The 18,810-nt window shown below is 47.4% G+C and overlaps 1 protein-coding gene and 1 long non-coding RNA gene across 14 annotated transcripts in view, besides 2 other annotated features; one reads left to right on the forward strand and one right to left on the reverse strand.

The window, feature by feature from the left end:
- LOC105370032 (uncharacterized) overlaps positions 1 to 18,810 on the reverse strand; it is an 84,641-nt gene that overhangs the window by 2,129 nt on the left and 63,702 nt on the right. The gene's annotated exons all lie outside the window — the stretch shown is intronic.
- Positions 1,426 to 1,720: an enhancer, noted in NCBI's record as "tiled region #4268; K562 Activating DNase matched - State 5:Enh, and HepG2 Activating non-DNase unmatched - State 8:EnhW". NCBI's record gives its function as "activates a minimal TATA promoter and a strong SV40 promoter by Sharpr-MPRA in K562 cells, with weak activation in HepG2 cells {active_cell/tissue: HepG2 | K562}" and the evidence as "EXISTENCE:reporter gene assay evidence [ECO:0000049][PMID:27701403]".
- P2RX7 (purinergic receptor P2X 7) overlaps positions 5,316 to 18,810 on the forward strand; it is a 55,157-nt gene continuing 41,662 nt past the window's right edge. For all 13 annotated transcript variants that reach the window (NR_033948.2, NR_033949.2, NR_033950.2 and 10 more), the window contains exon 1: positions 5,316 to 5,535. Coding sequence is in view for 2 of the 13 variants with exons in the window: in NM_002562.6 (NP_002553.3) it covers positions 5,411 to 5,535 (125 nt within the window). In the remaining 11 variants the exon portion in view is untranslated. The remainder of the gene's footprint in view (positions 5,536 to 18,810) is intronic.
- Positions 16,287 to 16,436: an enhancer, noted in NCBI's record as "active region_7157". NCBI's record gives its function as "activates an Ori minimal core promoter by ATAC-STARR-seq in GM12878 lymphoblastoid cells {active_cell/tissue: GM12878}" and the evidence as "EXISTENCE:reporter gene assay evidence [ECO:0000049][PMID:35858748]".

Genomic DNA, 18,810 nt, shown 5'->3' on the forward strand with positions numbered 1-18,810 from the left:
AATTTCTTTCTCCCCTGATTTAAATGCTTTTATTGCACACTAAGTTCCTACTCTTTTTTTTTTTTTTTTCATTATTGCATACAGAGTCTCACTCTGTGGCCCAGGCTGGAGTACAGTGACATAATCTTGGCTCACTGCAGCCTTGACCTTCCAGGGTCAAGGGATCCTCCCATTTCAGCCTTTCGAGAAGCTGGAACTACAGGTGTGCACTCCCGCAACTGGCTAATTTTTTTATTTTTTGTAGAGACAGGGTTTTGCCATGTTGCCCAGGCTGGTCCCAAACTTCTGGGCTCAAGCAATCCTCCTGCTTTGGCCTCTCAAAGTGCTGAGACTACAGGTATGAGCCACCGCACCCGGTCTGCACCTATCTTTGTGTTTAATACGTGACTCCACCCTGTTCCAATAATGTGTCTGTCAGTTCCCTTACTAGAGCTGCTTTAATTACACAGATTTACCATCGCTCTTAATATCTCCGTGGTCACCGGTTTATTTGTGAAGTGTTCACCCCATGGCCTCTGGGGACTCACTGTCTTTCGGCTTTCCTCTCCTCCCTACTCTGCCTCAGCTTAGTCTCCTTGGTGTTGGTGTCCTTCAGGGATCTGTCTTCGGTCCCCCTCCATGTCACTCTACCCTCTCCCTGGGCAGACCCCTGGCTCCACTCTTGCCCCTTCCGCCCATTTTCCATGGTGCAGCTAGAGTGCTCTGACTGAGCTGCAAATGAGACCATGCACACCCGTTTATAAACCCACCTATTGTTCTCAGGGTAAATTCCAGACAGACTCTTTAACACCAGAACATAAGGCTGGACGAGATTCAGGTCCAAGTAGTTTGTTTGGGAGGCGACCCAGGAAGAGGAGTGGGGAAGTGAGACAGGAAAGGGAAGGCAGTCAACACAGGAAGCATTAAAGAGTAGGTCAGGAGGCCGGACGCAGTGGCTCACACCTCTAATCCCAGCCCTTTGGGAGGCTGAGGCGGGCGGATCACCTGAGGTCGGCAGTTCTAGACCAGCTAGGGCAACATAGTGAAACTCCAACTCTACTAAAAATACAAAAATTAGCCGGGAGTGGTGGCACGCGCCTGTAGTCTTAGCTACTAGCGAGGCTGAGGCAGGAGAATCGCTTGAACCCGGGAGGCGGAGGTTGCAGTGAGCCGAGATCGTGCCACTGCACTCCAGCCTGGGCGACAGAGCAAGACACTGGAAATAAATAAAACTAATTAATTAATTAAAGAGCAGGTCACGGCTGTGGGCATCTGGGCTCAGACCCCCTCAGGCCCTCTGGAGACTGCCTAGACTTGTCTCAGAGTTGTCCCACCTGGGGGAGGAACGGGTATTTAACCAGCAGTCCCTCAGCCTTGGAGCCTCTATTCTCTGAGAGTCACATTCTCATTCTCTCTCTCCCTCTCTCTCTCTCTCTTCCCACCCCCCTTCTCTCTCTCTCTCTCTCCCGCCATCTTCCTTTCTTTCCTCCCTCCCTTCTCCCCCAACGGAGGTTGGCCCTTGACGCCCTGTGTGATTATGGCCCCGCCCACAGCCATAGCTGATTGGACCAGGGATAAAGAATTAGGCCAATCAGATTCATTCCCCTTGAGTTCTGGAACTGGGCAGGGGATCTGGGCTTGCATTTGAACTGTGGAACCTAACTTGGAGAGCATTGCTGAACCACGTGCCCTGGGAGAAACAGAGGAAGCCAGTGTTTAGAGAGACTCGCAATGGGCACACAGAGACAAACAGAGGCGGGCTTCAGACAAACTGAAAGAGCAACCTCAGCACAGGACAGTTTGGTTTCTGATTCTATTAATAGGTTCTCATGAGGTTGGGCACATTTCCTGCACTTGCAGTCTGTGAGATAAGTGTTTCCTCAAAAAAAAAAACTCCCTTTTCTGCTGAAGAATGTCACTTGATTTTCTGTAAATTGTAAACACACCCACACACTCACAAGACTAAGAAATCCACCGTTCAATCCCCAATTTTTTTTTTTTTGGTAACTTTATATTCCTTCCATCACGAGGTCAGAACATTTCATTGCTGCTGTGAGACTCTCCAGAGTTCTCATTAAAGAGTTCAAGACAATGGCTGTTCCGTTAGCCTCGATCTCTGAGTGATTACAGAGAGCTGAGCCATCTGGGAGACCCATGATGGACATATAGTGTGAGTGAGAATTAATTCATCACTGCTATAAGCCATGAGACACTGAGAGTGCTTTGTTATTGCAGCATAACCTGTCCTATCCTGATAGAATCATAAGAAGTGCTGAGAGACAATTTGCTGGAACTGATATTTACAGGGAGAAGAGAGCCAGAGAAAGATAAGACAAAGATTGGATGCAGTGGCTTATGCCTGTAACCCCAGCACTTTGGAAGGCTGAGTCAGGAGGATCACTTGAAGCCAGGAGTTCGAGACCAGCCTGGGCAGCATAGCAAGACCCTATCTCTACAAAATTAAAAAAAAAATTAACGAGGCTTGGTGGCATGTGCCTGTGGTCCCAGCTACTCAGGAGGCTGTGGTAGGGGGATCACTGGAGCCCAGAAGTTTGAAGCTGCAGTGAGCCATGATTGCGCCACTGCACTCCAGCCTGGACGACAGAGCAAGACCCAGTCTCTAAAATAAATTAATTAAATTAATTTTTTAAAAAGAAAGATAAGATAAAGAGTCATAGAAGTACAAATGAGAAACCAGGAGAACATGGGACCCAGGAAAGTCATGGAAACCAAGGGAAAATACTGGTCCAAGATGCAGAAAGTAGCCAGTGATGTTGAATGCATCCAAGAGATCAAGTAACATAAGGAATAAAATATATCCACCCAGTCTGGCAACTGAGAAGTCTTTGGTAACCTCTTTGAGAACAGAATCCATGGAGTGGAGGAGGTAGCAGTGATGAAATAGCGGACAAGGGCTGAAGGAGTGGAGAGGGGAGAGCATGAGGGACCAGTGCAAGAGTGCAGCAGAAAGACAACAAACAGGCCGGGTGTAGTGGCTCACGCCTGTAATCCCAACACTTTGGTAGGCTAAGGCGGGCAGATCGCTTGTGACCAGGAGTTCGAGACCAACCTAGCCAACATGGTGAAACCCCATCTCTACTAAAAACACAAAAATCAGCTGAGCGTGCGCATGGCTGTAATTGCAGATACTCATGAGGCTGAGGCACAAGAATCGCTTGAACCCAGGAGGCAGGGGTTGCAGTGACCCAAAGTCTTGCCACTGCACTACAGCCTGGGCAACAGGGGGAGACTCCATCTCAAAAAAACAAAAAAAAAAAAAAAAAAAAAAAAAGAAAGAAAGAAAAGAGAAAGAAAGAAAGACAAGAAAATAGATGTCTTTGAGTGGTAGCAAGAGCAACACTGAAGTGATTTGCCTATTCTGGACATTTCCTATAAATGGAGTCGTAAAAGATGTATCCTTTTGTGTCTGGCCTCTTTCACTTAAGCGTAGTGTTTTCAAGGTTCATCCATGTTGGAGCATGGGTCAGTGTTTCATTCCTTTTTATGGCTGAATAATATTCCCTTGTATGGGCTTTCGTGCTTTTGTGTATCCATCCATCAGCTGATGGACATTTGACTTGTCTGCCTGTTCACTGCCATATCTACTATTCCTGGTGCTCTTGGGAATGAGTGAATGAATAGCATAAACAGAGCTGTCCAGGGTCACAGAGCTGGTAAGATGTGAAGCCAGGATCGGAAGCCAGGCCATTAGTCCCCTAGAGCCTATGTTCTAAGCATCAGGCTTTACCTGTGAATCTCCTCTTTTTACAGATGAAGATGACCGTATCACTCAGATTCCCGGCAGGAAAGCAATGGCATACTCAAGTGGGGTAACTAATGATGGAACCATTTACAAAGGTGTGGACAGAGTTAAGAAAAAGCAATAGGAGATAGTGAGCTTCCTGGGGCTGGTAAGAGTGGGGAGCCCTTACCACTCCCAGGACTAAAGGAGGGAGTGGTGCCCAGAAGCCCTGCCTATATGCAACTGAGAAGGGCAGGGCCAGGGAGTCACGTCCATCCTCACTGCTCTCCAGTCTCCTGAACTGGAAGCCAGAAGGTGAGGGGAACCCTGATGCAGTTTGTATGTGTGAGAAAGTACAATTAGTTTAGACTGAAAAACTGAAAATCTACCCGGCCACTTAGCAGGCTGGAATAACAGAAAGGGATCAAGCCAGCTGTAAAGATAACAGGGAACAATAATTCTCTGTAGCTGTAAAGTGATAATACAACCCTGCATCTTTGAGTGACTGCTGAAACATTGTCCTTTAAAATCAGAGACCTTCAGAAACTTTGCTGTTTGAAATTACATGACTAAGACTGAAATATTCCAATTTTGCCTGGAAGATTTAAGTCATCTTGACACAGAGAAGCAGCCTCAATTTACAACTCAGGAGCAGAGCTTCAGATAAAGATTTTCTGGACACATTTGACATGTATCTTAGCTATGTTGCTTCCTAGGAAACAGGGCCCTGGGTCCTCTTTGCAATCCAGACTGAAGTTGACTGCTTTGTACAAACCTGTTTTGCTTTGAGTCCATCAAAACATGACTTCATTTAGATTTTATCTCAACTCCACTTTCCTCGGAATCCTATAATAAATTGCTGTTTTCCTTTGTTTGGTGATGTGCGTAGCTCTTCTGGTGGGTGGTGTCCCTCACTGAATAGGTCAACAAACCTAACTTTGTTGGACTGCCACTGTGTCCCTGGTGATCTTTGGCTGATTGGTCTAGGTCATAGATCGACCTGCCGGGGTGCAGAGGAGGGTGGAGAGTAACTCAGAGGGTCAAGCATGAAAGATCTGGCAGAAAAATAAAGCCCCTCCACCCCCACCACCCCTACCCCTGCAAATCTGATTTCCCCCACCAACTGCAGACCAGAGTATTATAAGGGGCGGTGGAAGAAGAGGGGGAGATCTTCATTTACCCAGAGCTCCTATACATCAGGGGCTGAATAAAGGGTTGTAGAAATGAATGAATCAATCTCTGAGTGGGGCTTCAGGCAATGGAAAGATCTCAGTCCTTTTCTGAGGCATAATGGAAGCTCCCAGTCTTGTGACATTTGCAAGGCTGCCCCTTTCTCCCAAGAGACATGAGACCAAAAAAGTGAAAGGAAAGGGGGGAAAAGGGAGAATTCTAAAAATGCCCATCCTCTGAACACCATCTTTGTGTAGGCATCTGGGGGAGGCCAGCTGGGGTGAGGTCATCTGCCAGCCAGGCCCGTAGGACTTGGCGCTTCTTGTTTATCACAGCCACATGTGGGGCCACTGCCAGGGCCCGCCCCAACTCTGCAGTCATTGGAGGAGCTTGAAGTTAAAGACTCCTGCTAAAAACCAGTACGTTTCATTTTGCAGTTACTGGGAGGGGGCTTGCTGTGGCCCTGTCAGGAAGAGTAGAGCTCTGGTCCAGCTCCGCGCAGGGAGGGAGGCTGTCACCATGCCGGCCTGCTGCAGCTGCAGTGATGTTTTCCAGTATGAGACGAACAAAGTCACTCGGATCCAGAGCATGAATTATGGCACCATTAAGTGGTTCTTCCACGTGATCATCTTTTCCTACGTTTGGTAAGTGGGATCTGGGGAGGACCCAGATCTCTGCAGTGGCCGACAGCACAGAAAGCCCCAGCGGGCAGCTTCAGGTGCACATTCTGAATCTCACATGGTTTTCGAATCTGAGACGTGCTCTCACAGCCAGCTGGGCGGGAGGGAGGAAGCAGCAGCAGGCAAGAGGAAACGGTGCCAGGCTGCAGCAGAGAGAAGCCACAGGACAAGCGGGATTCCTTTCTGCTCTACTTCAGGCCCGCCAGGGCGCGCAGGGCAGGGCGTGCCTGGGGAAGGTAGGAAAGCGCAGGGCAACACCCTGGATCCCCAGGGAGGAGGCGAGGATCTCAGGGCACGCCTGGTGATCATGCTGGCATCTGAGTCACCATGCTTGGGAGGAATAGGACCAGGCTTGAAAATGTGTTATAACTTTAGGTCCTCACCAACGTCAGGAAGGCCCTGCTTTTTGGTTTTTGTTTCTTCTAAAAGAAACTTACTGAGATATAATTTATACACCATACAATTGACCCATTTAAAGGGTACCATTTAATGATTTTCAGATTATTCCCAGAGTTGTGCAACCATCCCCACAATCAATTTTAGAATATTTTAATCGACTCAAAAGGAATCCCACACTCCTTCACCATCATTTCCAACACTGTTCCTCCTCCTTCCCACCCATCAATTTCCTTTCTGCCTCTATGGATTTGCCGATTCTGGACATTTCATATAAATGGAATCACATAATATGTGGTCCTTTGTGGCACTTAGCGTGTTTTCAATGCTCATCCATGTTGTAGCATGTGTTGATACTTCATTCAATTTTTTTTTTTAAAGAGACGGGGTCTCACTATTTTGTCCAGGCTGGTCTCAAACTCCTGGACTCAAGTGATCTGCCTGCCTCGGCCTCCCAAAGTGTCAGGATTACAGGCGTGAGCCATTGCACCCGGCTGATACTTCATTCCTTTTTACGGCTGAGTAGTACTCCATTGCATGGATAGACCACTTTTTTCTATCCATTCATCCATTGATGGACATTGGGGTTGTTTCTCTTTTTTGGCTATCATGAATAATGCCACATGAACATTTGTGTACAAGGTTTTATGTGGATATATATTCTCCTTTCTCTCGAATATGTACCTAAGAGTAAAAATTGCTAGGTCATATGTTAACTATGTTTCACCTTTGGGGGGAATGTGGAGCTGAATTTCACAGCAGCTGCAGTTTTTTACATTCCTATCAGCAGAGTATGAGGGATCCAATTTCTCCACATCCTCACCAACGCTTGTTATCGTCTGTCTTTTTGGGTTTTGTTGTTGTCATTTTGTTTTTGTCTTTGAGATGAAGTCTTGCTCTGTTGCCCAGGCTGGAGTGCAGTGGCGCAATCTTGGCTCACTGCAACCTCCACCTCCCCGGTTCAAGCGATTCTCCTGCCTCAGCCTCATGAGTAGCTGGGATTACAGGTGTGCGTCACCACTCCTCACTAATTTTTGTATTTTTAGTAGAGATGAGGTTTCGCCATGTAGGCCAGGCTGGTCTCAAACTCCTGACCTCAAGTGATCCGCCCACCTTGGCCTCCCAAAGTGCTGGGATTACAGGCATGAGCCGCCACGCCCGGCTGATTGTCTGTCTTTTTTATTATAGCCATGCTAGTGGGTGTGAAGTGGTAGTTCATTGTGGTTGTGATTTGAATTTCCCTGATGGTGAGTGCCTCTTATTCTCTGTGCTGATTGATAATGATGATGAAGGCAATTTGTATCTATAGAGTGGCAGTGTAGTTTACTAAGAGTTAGGGTAACTTATTTCATAGTACTGGCTATGTCTTCTGGGCCAAGTCATTAACTTCTCTGAGCCTCAGTTTCTGCATCTGTTCATAGGGTTGTGGCAATTAACCAAAAAAAAAAGGCATGAACAGCCCTTATCATGATGACTGACATAGGATAAGAGCTCCATAACTAGTATCTATTTTTAAAAATAATCTTTTTAAGTCTGGGAGTGGTGGCTCACACCTGTAATCCCAACACTTTGGGAGGCCAAGGCGGGTGGATCACGAAGTCAGGAGTTTGAGACCAGCCTGGCCAATATGGTGAAACCCCATCTCTACTAAAAATACAAAAATTAGTGGGGAGTGGTGGTGCACACCTGTAATCCCAGCTACTAGGGAGGCTGAGGCAGGAGAATCGCTTGAACCCGGAGGCGGAGGTTGCAGTGAGCCAAGATCAAGCCACTGCACTCCAGCCTGGGTGACAGAGCAAGACTCCATCTCAAAATAATAATAATAGTAATAATTTTTTTGATTATATAATAGTATATATGTATATAAAATACATGTATGTATTTTTATCTATATCCTCTGCTCTGACCCTCAAAGTAACCACGTCCAAGTTCAGGATTTGAAATCTGGAAACGTGGATTCAAAAATCCTTCACCTCTTTGAGCCTTGGTTTCATCATCTGTAAAATGGGGAGAATTGTTGATAGGAATATTAAATGAACTAATAAATGCAAAGCTGTTTGAGAAATATATGGCATATAGTAATCCCTGATTAAGTGTTAGTTCTTATTATTAATAATGCTATTATTAGGATTATTATTATTCGATTCATATGTTTACTGTTCAACAAATATTGAATGATAAACATATATGCTGGGTCCGGCATGGTGGCCCATGCCTGTAATTCCAGCACTTTGGGAGGCCAAGGCGGGCAGGTCACTTGAGGTCAAGAGTTTGAGACCAGCCTGGCCAACGTGGTGGAAACTCCATCTGTGCTAAAAATACAAAAATTAGCCGGGCATGGTGGTGGGTGCCTGTAATCCCAGCTACTCGGGAGGCTGAGACAGGAGAATCACTTGAACCCAGGAGGTGGAGGTTGCAGTGAGCCAAGATTGCACCACTGCACTCCAGCCTGAGCCACAGAGCAAGACTCTGTCTCAAAAAAAAAAAAAAAAAAAAATATATATATATATATATAGTATTTTTAGTAGAGATGGGGTTTTGCCATCTCTTATATATTTTTATATATTTATATTTTTTATATATTTATATATATTTATATGTATTTTATATATTTATATATATGTGCTGAAATCTAAAATAAGACATATCACTTAAACCAGCTATCATAGGACCAATGGTAAAGAGCATAATTAGTAAATGCCCCCTTCTGCATTAATACGTAGATTGTATGTCACAATTTCATGTAGCAGGTGATGGGACTTCCTGACATTCTTGGGCCCAGCATACAATCTTTTTATTTCTTTTTTAGAGACAGGGTCTCATTGTGTTGCCCTAGGCTGGAGTGCAGTGTCATTATCACAGCTCGCCACAGCCTCAACTTCTCAGGCTCAAGTGATCCTCCCGCCTCATCCTCCCAAGTAGCTGGGACCATAGGCACACGCCATGATGTCTGACTAATTTTTTATTTTTTTTTGTGGAGATGGGGGTCTCCCTATGTTGCTCAGGCTAGTCTCAAACTCCTGGACTCAAGTGATCCTCCTGCTTTGGCCTCCCAAAGTGCTGGGATTATAGGCATGAGCCACTTTGTCTGGCCTACAATTCCTTTTCTTTCTTTCTTTCTTTTTTTTTTTTTTTTTTGAGTTGAGTCTCACTCTGTCACCTAGGCTGTAGTGCAGTGGTGTGATCTCAGCTCACTGCAACCTATACCTCCCAGGCCCAAGCAATCCTCCCACCTCAACCTCCCGAGTAGCTGGGACCACAGGTGTACACCACCACGCCCAGCTAATTTTTTGTATTTTTGGTAGAGACAGGGTTTCACCATAGTTGTCCAGGCTGGTCTTGAACTCCTGAGCTCAAGCAATCCACCCGCCTTGGCCTCCCAAAGTGCTGGGATTACAGGTGTGGGTCACCATGCCCAGCCTTCAATTTCTTCAGATTATTGTATAATAATAAAATTTCTAAAAACAGATTACTATGAGAACACCTTGTAATGATAAATATTTTTCTTTCACATGGTGAAATCATAACTTACATGTATTTAACTCCCTCAAATTCAGTTATACATGTTCCATGGGGACATGGAGAGAGAGAGAACAATATAAATAATGCAATGATTCAGCAACCGGGTTCGCTGGAGTAGGTGTGAGATGGGATACTGGCATCTGGTGTTCCCTCCGTCAATCTCTGTTCCCACGTGCTTTTTAGCGAGCATCTTGCTGCTCTACTTATTAATCTAGGTACATATTTTTCAGCCACATGACCCCTAAAATAAGTCAACTCCTTCACCTTCACCTGGAGCAAAACTGTAAAAACAGCAACTTGTTCTAGATCTGGAGGCAAAATTGGTTCCAGCAGACCCACTGGGAAGTGGGAGGTGTTTGCTATGCTTTGTGGACAATTTAAGTGTTTAAAAGGCAATTTTGATGAGCCATGATTTTCATCTTAAGTGCCAACTTTAGAAGATAACCTTCATATAAAAGTTTCTCTACAGTTTGTATTTTAAAATATAAAATGGAAGAAAAAACTATCACCAGCTTTGCTTTTTTCCTCTTGGTTAATGGACTATCTATTAACGTCTCACTAAATGGCCAAATGGAGTCTCACAGTACACAGTTTGGGAAATGCTGCCTTAAGTTGCTCTGTGAAGCCTTAAGTTCGTGTAACCATGACTTAGCCATCTGTGAAATGGGTAGACCCATGGGGCATAGGAATTGGGGAATGTATTTTGCATCAAGTAGGACTGGTGTGGACCACAGGTGGAAATCCAGACAGGCTCGAGCAATGTTCAGGATACAGCAGCAAGTGACAGGTTCTGGCCAGCTGTCCCTACTGGGGCTGCAAGGACTAAGAGCCAGGATAAGGAGACAGGGCCTCGGTTATTGAAAATGGGATACAAAGCAGGGACTGGTTATGGCGGAAATTAACCAAGAGGCTGTTCAGCTTCTTCTATTCTCACAACCAATTCAGATCTGGATTCAAAGGCAGGGATGCAGCTACAAGAGGAGTTTGTGTTGGAGGTCTGTGTAGATAGGATGCTAAGCAGGTCTGTGTCAGCCAGGATCGTTTGGGCAGTAAGTGACAGAAACCCAACTTGCGTTAACCACAAAGCCTCAAAGGGGAATTTATTGGATCATGTAACTGGCCAGTTGAAGAGATGGTGCTGTCCTCGGACGTGGATGAAGATAAGAGTTCAAACTGTGTCATCAGGACGGATCCGTCTCCCTACATCCTGGCTCCATTTGCTTCTATTTGGCTTCCTTCTTGAACAACTCTGTATGTACAAGATATCCTCACATTCTCTTCTTTTAACAACCTCAGAGGAGCAAACAAGTCTTTCCTGATAGCTCTGCTAAGAAAGTCCCAGGAAAGACTCTGATTGATCAGATGTGAGTTACAGATCCATCCCTGAACCAATCACTGTGGCCAGGGCCAAGGTGTCATCCCATTGGCCAGCCTGGGTCATGTGCTGGCTCCCGTAGCAGGAAGTAGGGAGAAGACGAGGGAGCCGTGTGAGCCCTACGTGAACCACATCCAGTGGATTTTCCTTAGGAAGGAAGATTCTGTGACCAGACCAAATGGAAAAGGAAGTGGGGAGGGTAGGCAGACAAAAATCGGTGATCTATTACAAGGTCTTTCCAAAAGCCAGAAATTAGGGATTTCTAAGTGTACCTCTCTAGTCCTGGCTTGTCTCAGCCCTGCAGCTGGGCTGTGGAGACTCCATCAGCAATTGCTGACCCCCTATTCTTACCTCGGCCCCTTCCTGAGTCCCACCAGGAGCCCTGCTCCTCATCTGGGACATGCTTCTTGGCCCATGGAGGTTGCCAGCTCACCTTGGTACTTTACTACTATTTGGTTTCTGTGACCACCAAGCTGTTGCTTAAACCAAGCCGCCTATGGTGGCACCACTTTGGAGAATTCTTTTTTATTTTTTGAGACAGGTTCTCACTCTGGTTACCGAGACTGGAGTGCAGTGGTATGATCTTGGCTCACTGCAGCCTCGACCTCCCGGGTTCAGGTGATTTTCCCACCTCAGCCTCCCCAGTAGCTGGGACTATTGGTGCATGCCACTACACCCGGCTCATTTTTGTATTTTTAGTAGAGACGGGGTTTTGCCATGTTGGCCGGGCTGGTCTTGAACTCCTGACCTCAGGTGATCTGCCCGCCTCGGCCTGTCAAAGTGCTGAAATTACAGGCGTGAGCCACCGCACCCGGCTGGATAATTCTTTAGATTTTATTCCAAGTGGGTTGAGAAGCCATGGGAAGATTGTAAGCAAAGGAATAAAAGTTGGTTGCATTCTCTTTGGAGGATTTCCCTCTTCCCTGGAGACCAGTCCTCACAGAAGCTTTTCCAATGGCCACAGAAGACTAAGGAAGATTGAGAGAGGCACAGGAAACAATTCCACTCAGAGCTGCTGCTTCGCCACTGCCCAGTCAGCCTCCACTGGCGCCAACATGAGCCTATGCTGTCATTCCTGGGCCCAGGCTGGCTGTCGCTGTGGAGATGGTGCTGCTGTGCTAGTTTGTGGCTGTTAAAATGGAGCTCCTGGCTGGACACCTGTTTCCCAGTGGGTGGCCACAAACCTGTGAGTCTGGGCCTCCTCCAGCTGAGTAGAAGTGAGCCCAGCACAGAGGCCGGGGAGGCCCCAGACGCCAGGAGGAGCAAATCCAAATCCAACCCAAGCATGGCCCCTCTGACCCTGACCATCTTTTTTTTTTTTTTTTTTTGAGACAGAGTCTCCCTCTGTCACCCAGACTGGAGTGCAGTGGCACGATCTTGGCTCATTGCAACCCCCACCTCCTGGGTTCATGCGATTCTCCTGCCTCAGCCTCCCTAGTAGGGACTACAGGCATGCACCACTACACCCAGATAATGTCTGTATTTTTAGTAGAGATGGGGTTCTGCTATGTTGGCTAGGCTGGTCTCGAACTCCTGGCCTCAAGCGATCCGTCCGTCTTGGCTTCCCAAAATGCTGAGATTACAGGTGTGAGCCACTGCGCCCAGCCTGCCCCTGACTGTCTTCAGAAAAGTAGAAGCAGGAGGTCTGCCACATTCTCATCCCACCCTTGACACCTGGGTGATGTGCTAGAGCTTGAGGGGAAGGTCAGAGGTAACCCAGTTCGGGAAGTGACCCCGTAGGAGGAGAAGAATCCAGCCATGTGACACACAGTACGAAGAGAACAGTAAATGCAAAGACCTGGAAACAAGAGGAACAGCAAGGACAGCATGTCCCAGAACCTGGGGAGAGAGGAGGGAGCAGCCGGAGCTGAGGGCAGCTCAGGGGAAGAGTTGCTATTTGATTTTCAGTGCATGGGAAGCCACTGAAAAGTTTTATGCAGAGAAGTAAAACCATCTCACTCATGTTTCTAGAAGCCTTATGGGCCACTGTGCAGAGCATAGAGTGTGGTGGGACAAGAATGACGGTGAGGAACCAGTGAGAAGGTTCCTGGAGTCACCAGATGCGAGGAGATAGAGGCTTGGGCTAGAATGGGCTGGCGGAGCTGGAGAGAGGTGGACAAAGCTGAGATGTGTTTTGGAGGCAGAAATGATAGATTTGCTAGGAGGTGAAAGATGGCTCTAGATTCCTGAGGAACGATGATGCCTTTTACCAACCTGAAGAAGACCAAGGAGAGGCTTGAGGACTAACACGGAACTGTGAAGGAGGCCAGGCAAAGGTGGAGACTGCCGTGAGCTGTGATCACGCCACTGCACCCTCGCCTGGGTGACAGACTGAGAACCTGTCTTAAAATATATATGTAATAAAAAATAATAAATAAAGGGCCAGGCGTGGTGGCTCAACGCCTGTAATCCCAACACTGGGAGGCTGAAGCAGGTGGATCACCTGAGGTCAGAAGTTCAAGACCAGCCTGGTCAACATGGCGAAATCCCATCTCTACTAAAAATACAAAAATTAGCCAGACATGGTGGCACATGCCTGTAATCCCAGCTACTTGGGAGGCTGAGGCAGGAGAATCACTTGAACCTGGGAGGCAGAGGTTGCAGTGAGCCTAAATCACACCACTGCACTCCAGCCTGGGCAACAGAGTGAGACCCCATAAATAAATAAATAAATACATAAATAAAGGATATCAGGCAAGCAATTAAAACACCTGCCTACTACCATCTATCCGCATCCTTTTTTTCATGTCTAACACCAAAACACCAAAATAGCTGGAAACATATCATGTCAAAAGATAAGCATGATTCTTTCAAATGAATGGCTGTGGACTTATGAAAAGCTGCCTCCGCATCTGATTTTCTTGTTTCAAGGGGTAATGATGGAGGTTTCTCTCCTGCACCTGCAGGCCTCCGGGGATGCTGCCCCAGTGCAGCCTCCCACCCTGGGCTGGAGCCTCCCAGCCCCGCTGCATGGGTAGCACAGTGTTGGGAAGAGGAAGGAGCAGTTTGTCTGGCTTTTTCACAGGCCCACAGCTGGCCGGTACAGTGGCAGAGAAGGCGAGGCTGAGGTGGGGCTGGGGAAGCCAGCAGGGGCCTGATCATGGAGCGCCTTGAGCTGCATCCCACAGGTACTGAGAAAGCATGGAGAGCTGTCCCCCAGCCCCCAGCATCTTATTAGAAAATATTGAAACATAACAGAAAACATGAAGGGTTTTATGTTCATATTTTCATTTTAGAGAGATCATTCTGCTTGAAATATAACACCTACTGAGTACTGCTGAGGACTTAGCATGTGCCGGGTTCTGTTCTTAGCATGTGACATGTATTGGCCTATTTGATTCTCCTACATAATCCTGGAAGATTGGTTGTGGGAGTGGGTGATCATGACCTGAACAGCCTAACCATGTTTAGGGAACACTCTGTGTTATGCGTTCCACCACACAATCCATGTCACAGCTGAATGTCCCAGTTTCCCTTGCAGCTAGGACACAACAGGAGACCCAAGCTTTCCAAACATATGCCCCAGGCAACACTTTGATACACAAGGAATAACACTGGATGCTGGGTGTGCACAGAATTCAAATTCAGGAATGGAGGGAAGTACTGCCCTTTGACCCATACAATAGGGGATCCCCTTCCTTGGACCCCATGGCTTAGAGGGCCCCACTCTGTCCCTCTGCAGACTGTGAGCTGCCCTATGGAATGAGGGGTGTCTGAGGCTGTATTAGTTTCTATTTGTTACACAGCAGTGGAAACTAATACAGTCCCACAGGCCTAAATCAAGGCGTCAGCAGGCTGAGTTCCTGCCTGGAGACTCTGGGGAAAATTCACTTCCAAACTCATTTTTGTTGTTGGCAAAATTCAATCCCTTGAGGCTGCAGGACTGGGCTCTGCTCCTCACTGGCTGTCAGCCTGGGGCCACTCTCAGATTCTGAAGTCCTCCCACATTCCCTGCCACATGGTCCTCTCCATCTCCAAGCCTGCTATGACACAACGCATTGTTCTCATGCTTCAAATCTCTGACTTCTCTCCCGGGACCAGAAGAAGAATACTCTCTTCTTTTAAGGGGCTCATGTGATTGGGTCAGGTCAACTCTATCATATCATGGAGTCTCACCGTCTTGCCCAGGTGGGTCTTGAACACCTGGGCTCAAGTGATCCTCCTGCGTTGGCCTCCCAAAGTGCTGGGATTACAGGCGGGAACTGCTGTGCCCAGCCAAGGCCAGCATCTTCAGACTTCTCTGCCCTGTTTTCACATGGTCTTCTCCTCTTTGTGTGTGTGTCAAATCTCCTTCTGCCTCTCTTATAAGGACGCGTGTAATAGCACTCAGGGCCCACCTGGATGACACAGGGTCATCTCGCCATCTCAAAATCGTTAACTTTGGCCAGGTGCAGTGGCTCATGCCTGTAATCTCAGCACTTTGGGAGGCTGAGACAGGTGGATCACTTGAGGTCAGGAGTTCAAGACCAGCCTGGCCAGCATGGTGAAACCCTGTCTCTACTAAAAATACAAAAGTTAGCTGGGCGCGCACCTGTAGTCCCAGCTACTCAGGAGACTGAGGCAAAAGAATCTCTAGAACCTGGGAGGCAGAGACTGCAGTGAGCCAAGATTATGCCACTGCACTTCCAGCCTGGGGGACAGAGTGAGACTTCATCTCAAAAAAAAAAAAAAGATGACTGGGCACGGTGGCTCACATCTGTAATCCCAGCATTTGGGAGGCCCAGGTGGGCAGATCACCTGGGTTCAGGAGTTCATTCGAGACCAGCCTGGCCAACATGGTGAAAGTCTCTCTCTACTAAAAAAAAAAAAAAATACAAAAATTACCCAGATGTGGTGGCAGGTGCCTGTAATCCCAGCTACTTGGCAGGCCGAGGCAGGAGAATCACTTAAACCTGGGAGGCAGAGGGTGCAGTGAGCTGAGATCACTCTGCTGCACTCCAGCCTGGACGACAGAGCGAAACTCCATCTCAGAAAAACAAATTAACCAGGCATGGTGCTGCGTGCCTGTAGTCCCAGCTACTGGGAAGGCTGAGGTGGGAGGATTGCTTGATCCTGGGAGGTTGAGGCTGCAGTGAGCTGTGTTTGTGCCACTGCACTCCAGCCTGGGCGACAGAGTGAGACCCTATCTGAAAAAAAAAAAATCGGCCAGGCGCGGTGGCTCACGTCTGTAATCCCAGAACTCTGGGAGACTGAGGTGGGTGGATCACCTGAGGTCAGGAGTTCGAGACCAGCCTGACCAACAGGGTGAAACCCCGTCTCTACTAAAAATACAAAAATTAGCTGGGCATGGTGGCAGGCACCTATATAATCCCAGCTACTCGGGAGGCTGAGGCAGGAGAATCGCTTGAACTCAGGAGGCAGAGGTTGCAGTGAGCCGAGGTCATGGCATTGCACTCCAGCCTGGTGGCAGAGTGAGACTCCGTCTCAAAAAAAAGAAAGTCTCTTTTTACAACTTTTTTGAGGTATAACTTACATATCAGAAAATCACCGGTTTTAAATATACATTTCAATGACTTTTAGTAAATTTCCCAAGTTGTGCAACCATCATCACAATCCAGTTTCAGAACATTTCATCAGCCCAGTAAGAGCCCTCACACCCATTAACAGTCACTCCCCACTCCCACTTCCTCCTGGTGGTTGCTCAACCCAGGTAACCATGAATCTATTCTCTGCCTCTGGAGATTTGTCTTTTCTGGACAATCTTTCTTCTTAAACTCAGCAGAGTGAGTTCTGTTGTTTAGAACTAGAAACCCTGCCCAATAGAATACTAATATCCTCTTGTTTTGCAAGGGAGTTAGAGTCTCGCTCTGTCGCCCAGGCTGGAGTGCAGTGGTATGATCTCGCCTCACTTCGACCTCTACCTTCCGGATTCAAGCGATTCTCCTACCTCAGCTTCCTGAGTAGCTGGGATTACAGACGTGCACCAACACACCTGGCTAATTTTTGTACTTTTAGTAGAGATGGGGTCTCACCATGTTGGCCAAGCTGGTCTTGAACTCCTGACTTCAAATGGGCCACCCGCCTTGGCCTCCCAAAGTTCTGGGATTACAGGCATGAGCCACTGCACCCAGCCCTAATATCCTCTTATTACAAAAGAAGAAACAATGACTCAGAAAGATTAAGTCACTTACCCAAGGTCATGTAGTCAGTAAGCAATAGAGCTGAGACTGAACCTCACTCCAAAGTCTATGCTCTCACTAAAGTATTGCAGTGTAGAGAGTAGAGGGGACAGGGTGAGACTGGAGGAAGGGAGGGCATTTAGGAGACTATTGGGATGTCCAGATCTGAGAGCTGTTGGCGACCTGGACTGGGGAGGTGATAGAGGCAGAGGAGAGAAGTAGATGAATTTGAGCATATTAGGAAGTGAAACAGTAGGATTTGGCAACTGAACGGGTGAGTGGACAAGAAGGAGAGGATGAGTCAAAGAGTGCACCATGCTTCTGGCTTGGGCAACTGATGGGTACTGGAATAACTTGCTGGGATAGGAAATGCAGGAGAAACAGCCAATTTGGGGTGGAAGATGAGGTCAGGACTAAAGGCATTGAGTTTGAGGTGTCTATGGAATGTACAAATGGAGATGTTGAATGGATGGTTGGATATACGAATCTGCAGCTGAGATGTAGGTTTCTATATCACCAGCATATAGACGGCAACCAGAACCCTGGAAGAAGGTGCAACCGACCAGCAAGAGAAGATGTAGATGAGAAAGCAAAAGGGCCTAGAACACGCCCCAAAGGAGTGCTAACCTTTAAGGCGTGGGAGCGCAGAAGTCCCCAAAAGATTCTGAGGAGTAGCCACGGCGATCCAGTGAAAGTCAGGCACAAGTGGACTCCTGCAAGCTAAGGGAAGGAGGCGAGGGAAGTGGGGCATGGTCACAGTCAGTGTCAACTGCTGCTGAGAGTTCCAGGAAGGTCAGGTCCATGGTGTATCTATTGGATTTAGTGACAACGACATTGTTGTTTACTTGGCAAGAGAGGCTTTAGAGAAGGGATGGGGGTGGGAGCCAGACTAGAGTGGGTAGAGGAGTGAGTGAATCAAGATGCGGAAGTGGATGTGATGACTCGCCCTTTCTTTCTTCTTTCTTTCTTTTTTTTTTTTTTGAGATGCAGTCTTCCTCTGTCGCCCAGGCTGGAGTGCGATGGTGTGATCTCCACTCACCACAACCTCTGCCTCCTGGGTTCAAGTGATTCTCCTGCCTCAGCCTTCCAAGTAGCTGGGATTACAGGCATGTGCCACCACACCCGCCTAATTTTTTGTATTTTTAGTAGAGACGGGGTTTCACCATGTTGGCCAGGCTGGTCTCAAACTCCTGACCTCTTGATCCACCTGCCTCAGCCTCCCAAAGTGCTGGGATTACAGGCGTGAGCCACCGTACCCGGCCTGGTGACTCACTCTTTCAAGGGACTCAGCTATAAAGAAGAGAGGCATGGAGTGGTGGTAGGATGGATTAAGCTGGGGAGGGGAGGCATTTTTAAGATGAGAAATGATGTTTAAATGCAGATGGAAATGGGACAGGAGAGAAACGGAAGTTGATGGGATAAATGAAAATTATCATCATCATCTTCCTCACCATCACCAGCAGCAACCACAAGGAAAGCTCGTTCTGCTCTGGGACTGCCCTGTTAGACATTTCTTCCTTATACTGAGCCACAATCTATCTCCCTGTAACTTTCGCCTTTGGTTAGAGTTCTGCCTTGTGTCCCTCTTCTACTCTTCAAATGGCTGCACGCTGCTACTATGTCTGTCCTCTTCTTCAAACTCACAGCCCCCATCCTACGGGCCCTGTGCTCCCAGCCTGGTGACCCGACCCTCTACTGTCCCAGCCAAGTTCACATGACCATCCTCTTATTTGTCAAGCCTCTCTTTTTTTTTTTTTTTTTTTTTTTTTTTTTGAGGAGTCTTACTCTGTCCCAGGCTGGAGGGCATGGCACAATCTCAGCTCACTG

Source organism: Homo sapiens, chromosome 12 (assembly GCF_000001405.40).
Source record: "Homo sapiens chromosome 12, GRCh38.p14 Primary Assembly".
NCBI lineage: Eukaryota > Metazoa > Chordata > Mammalia > Primates > Hominidae > Homo > Homo sapiens.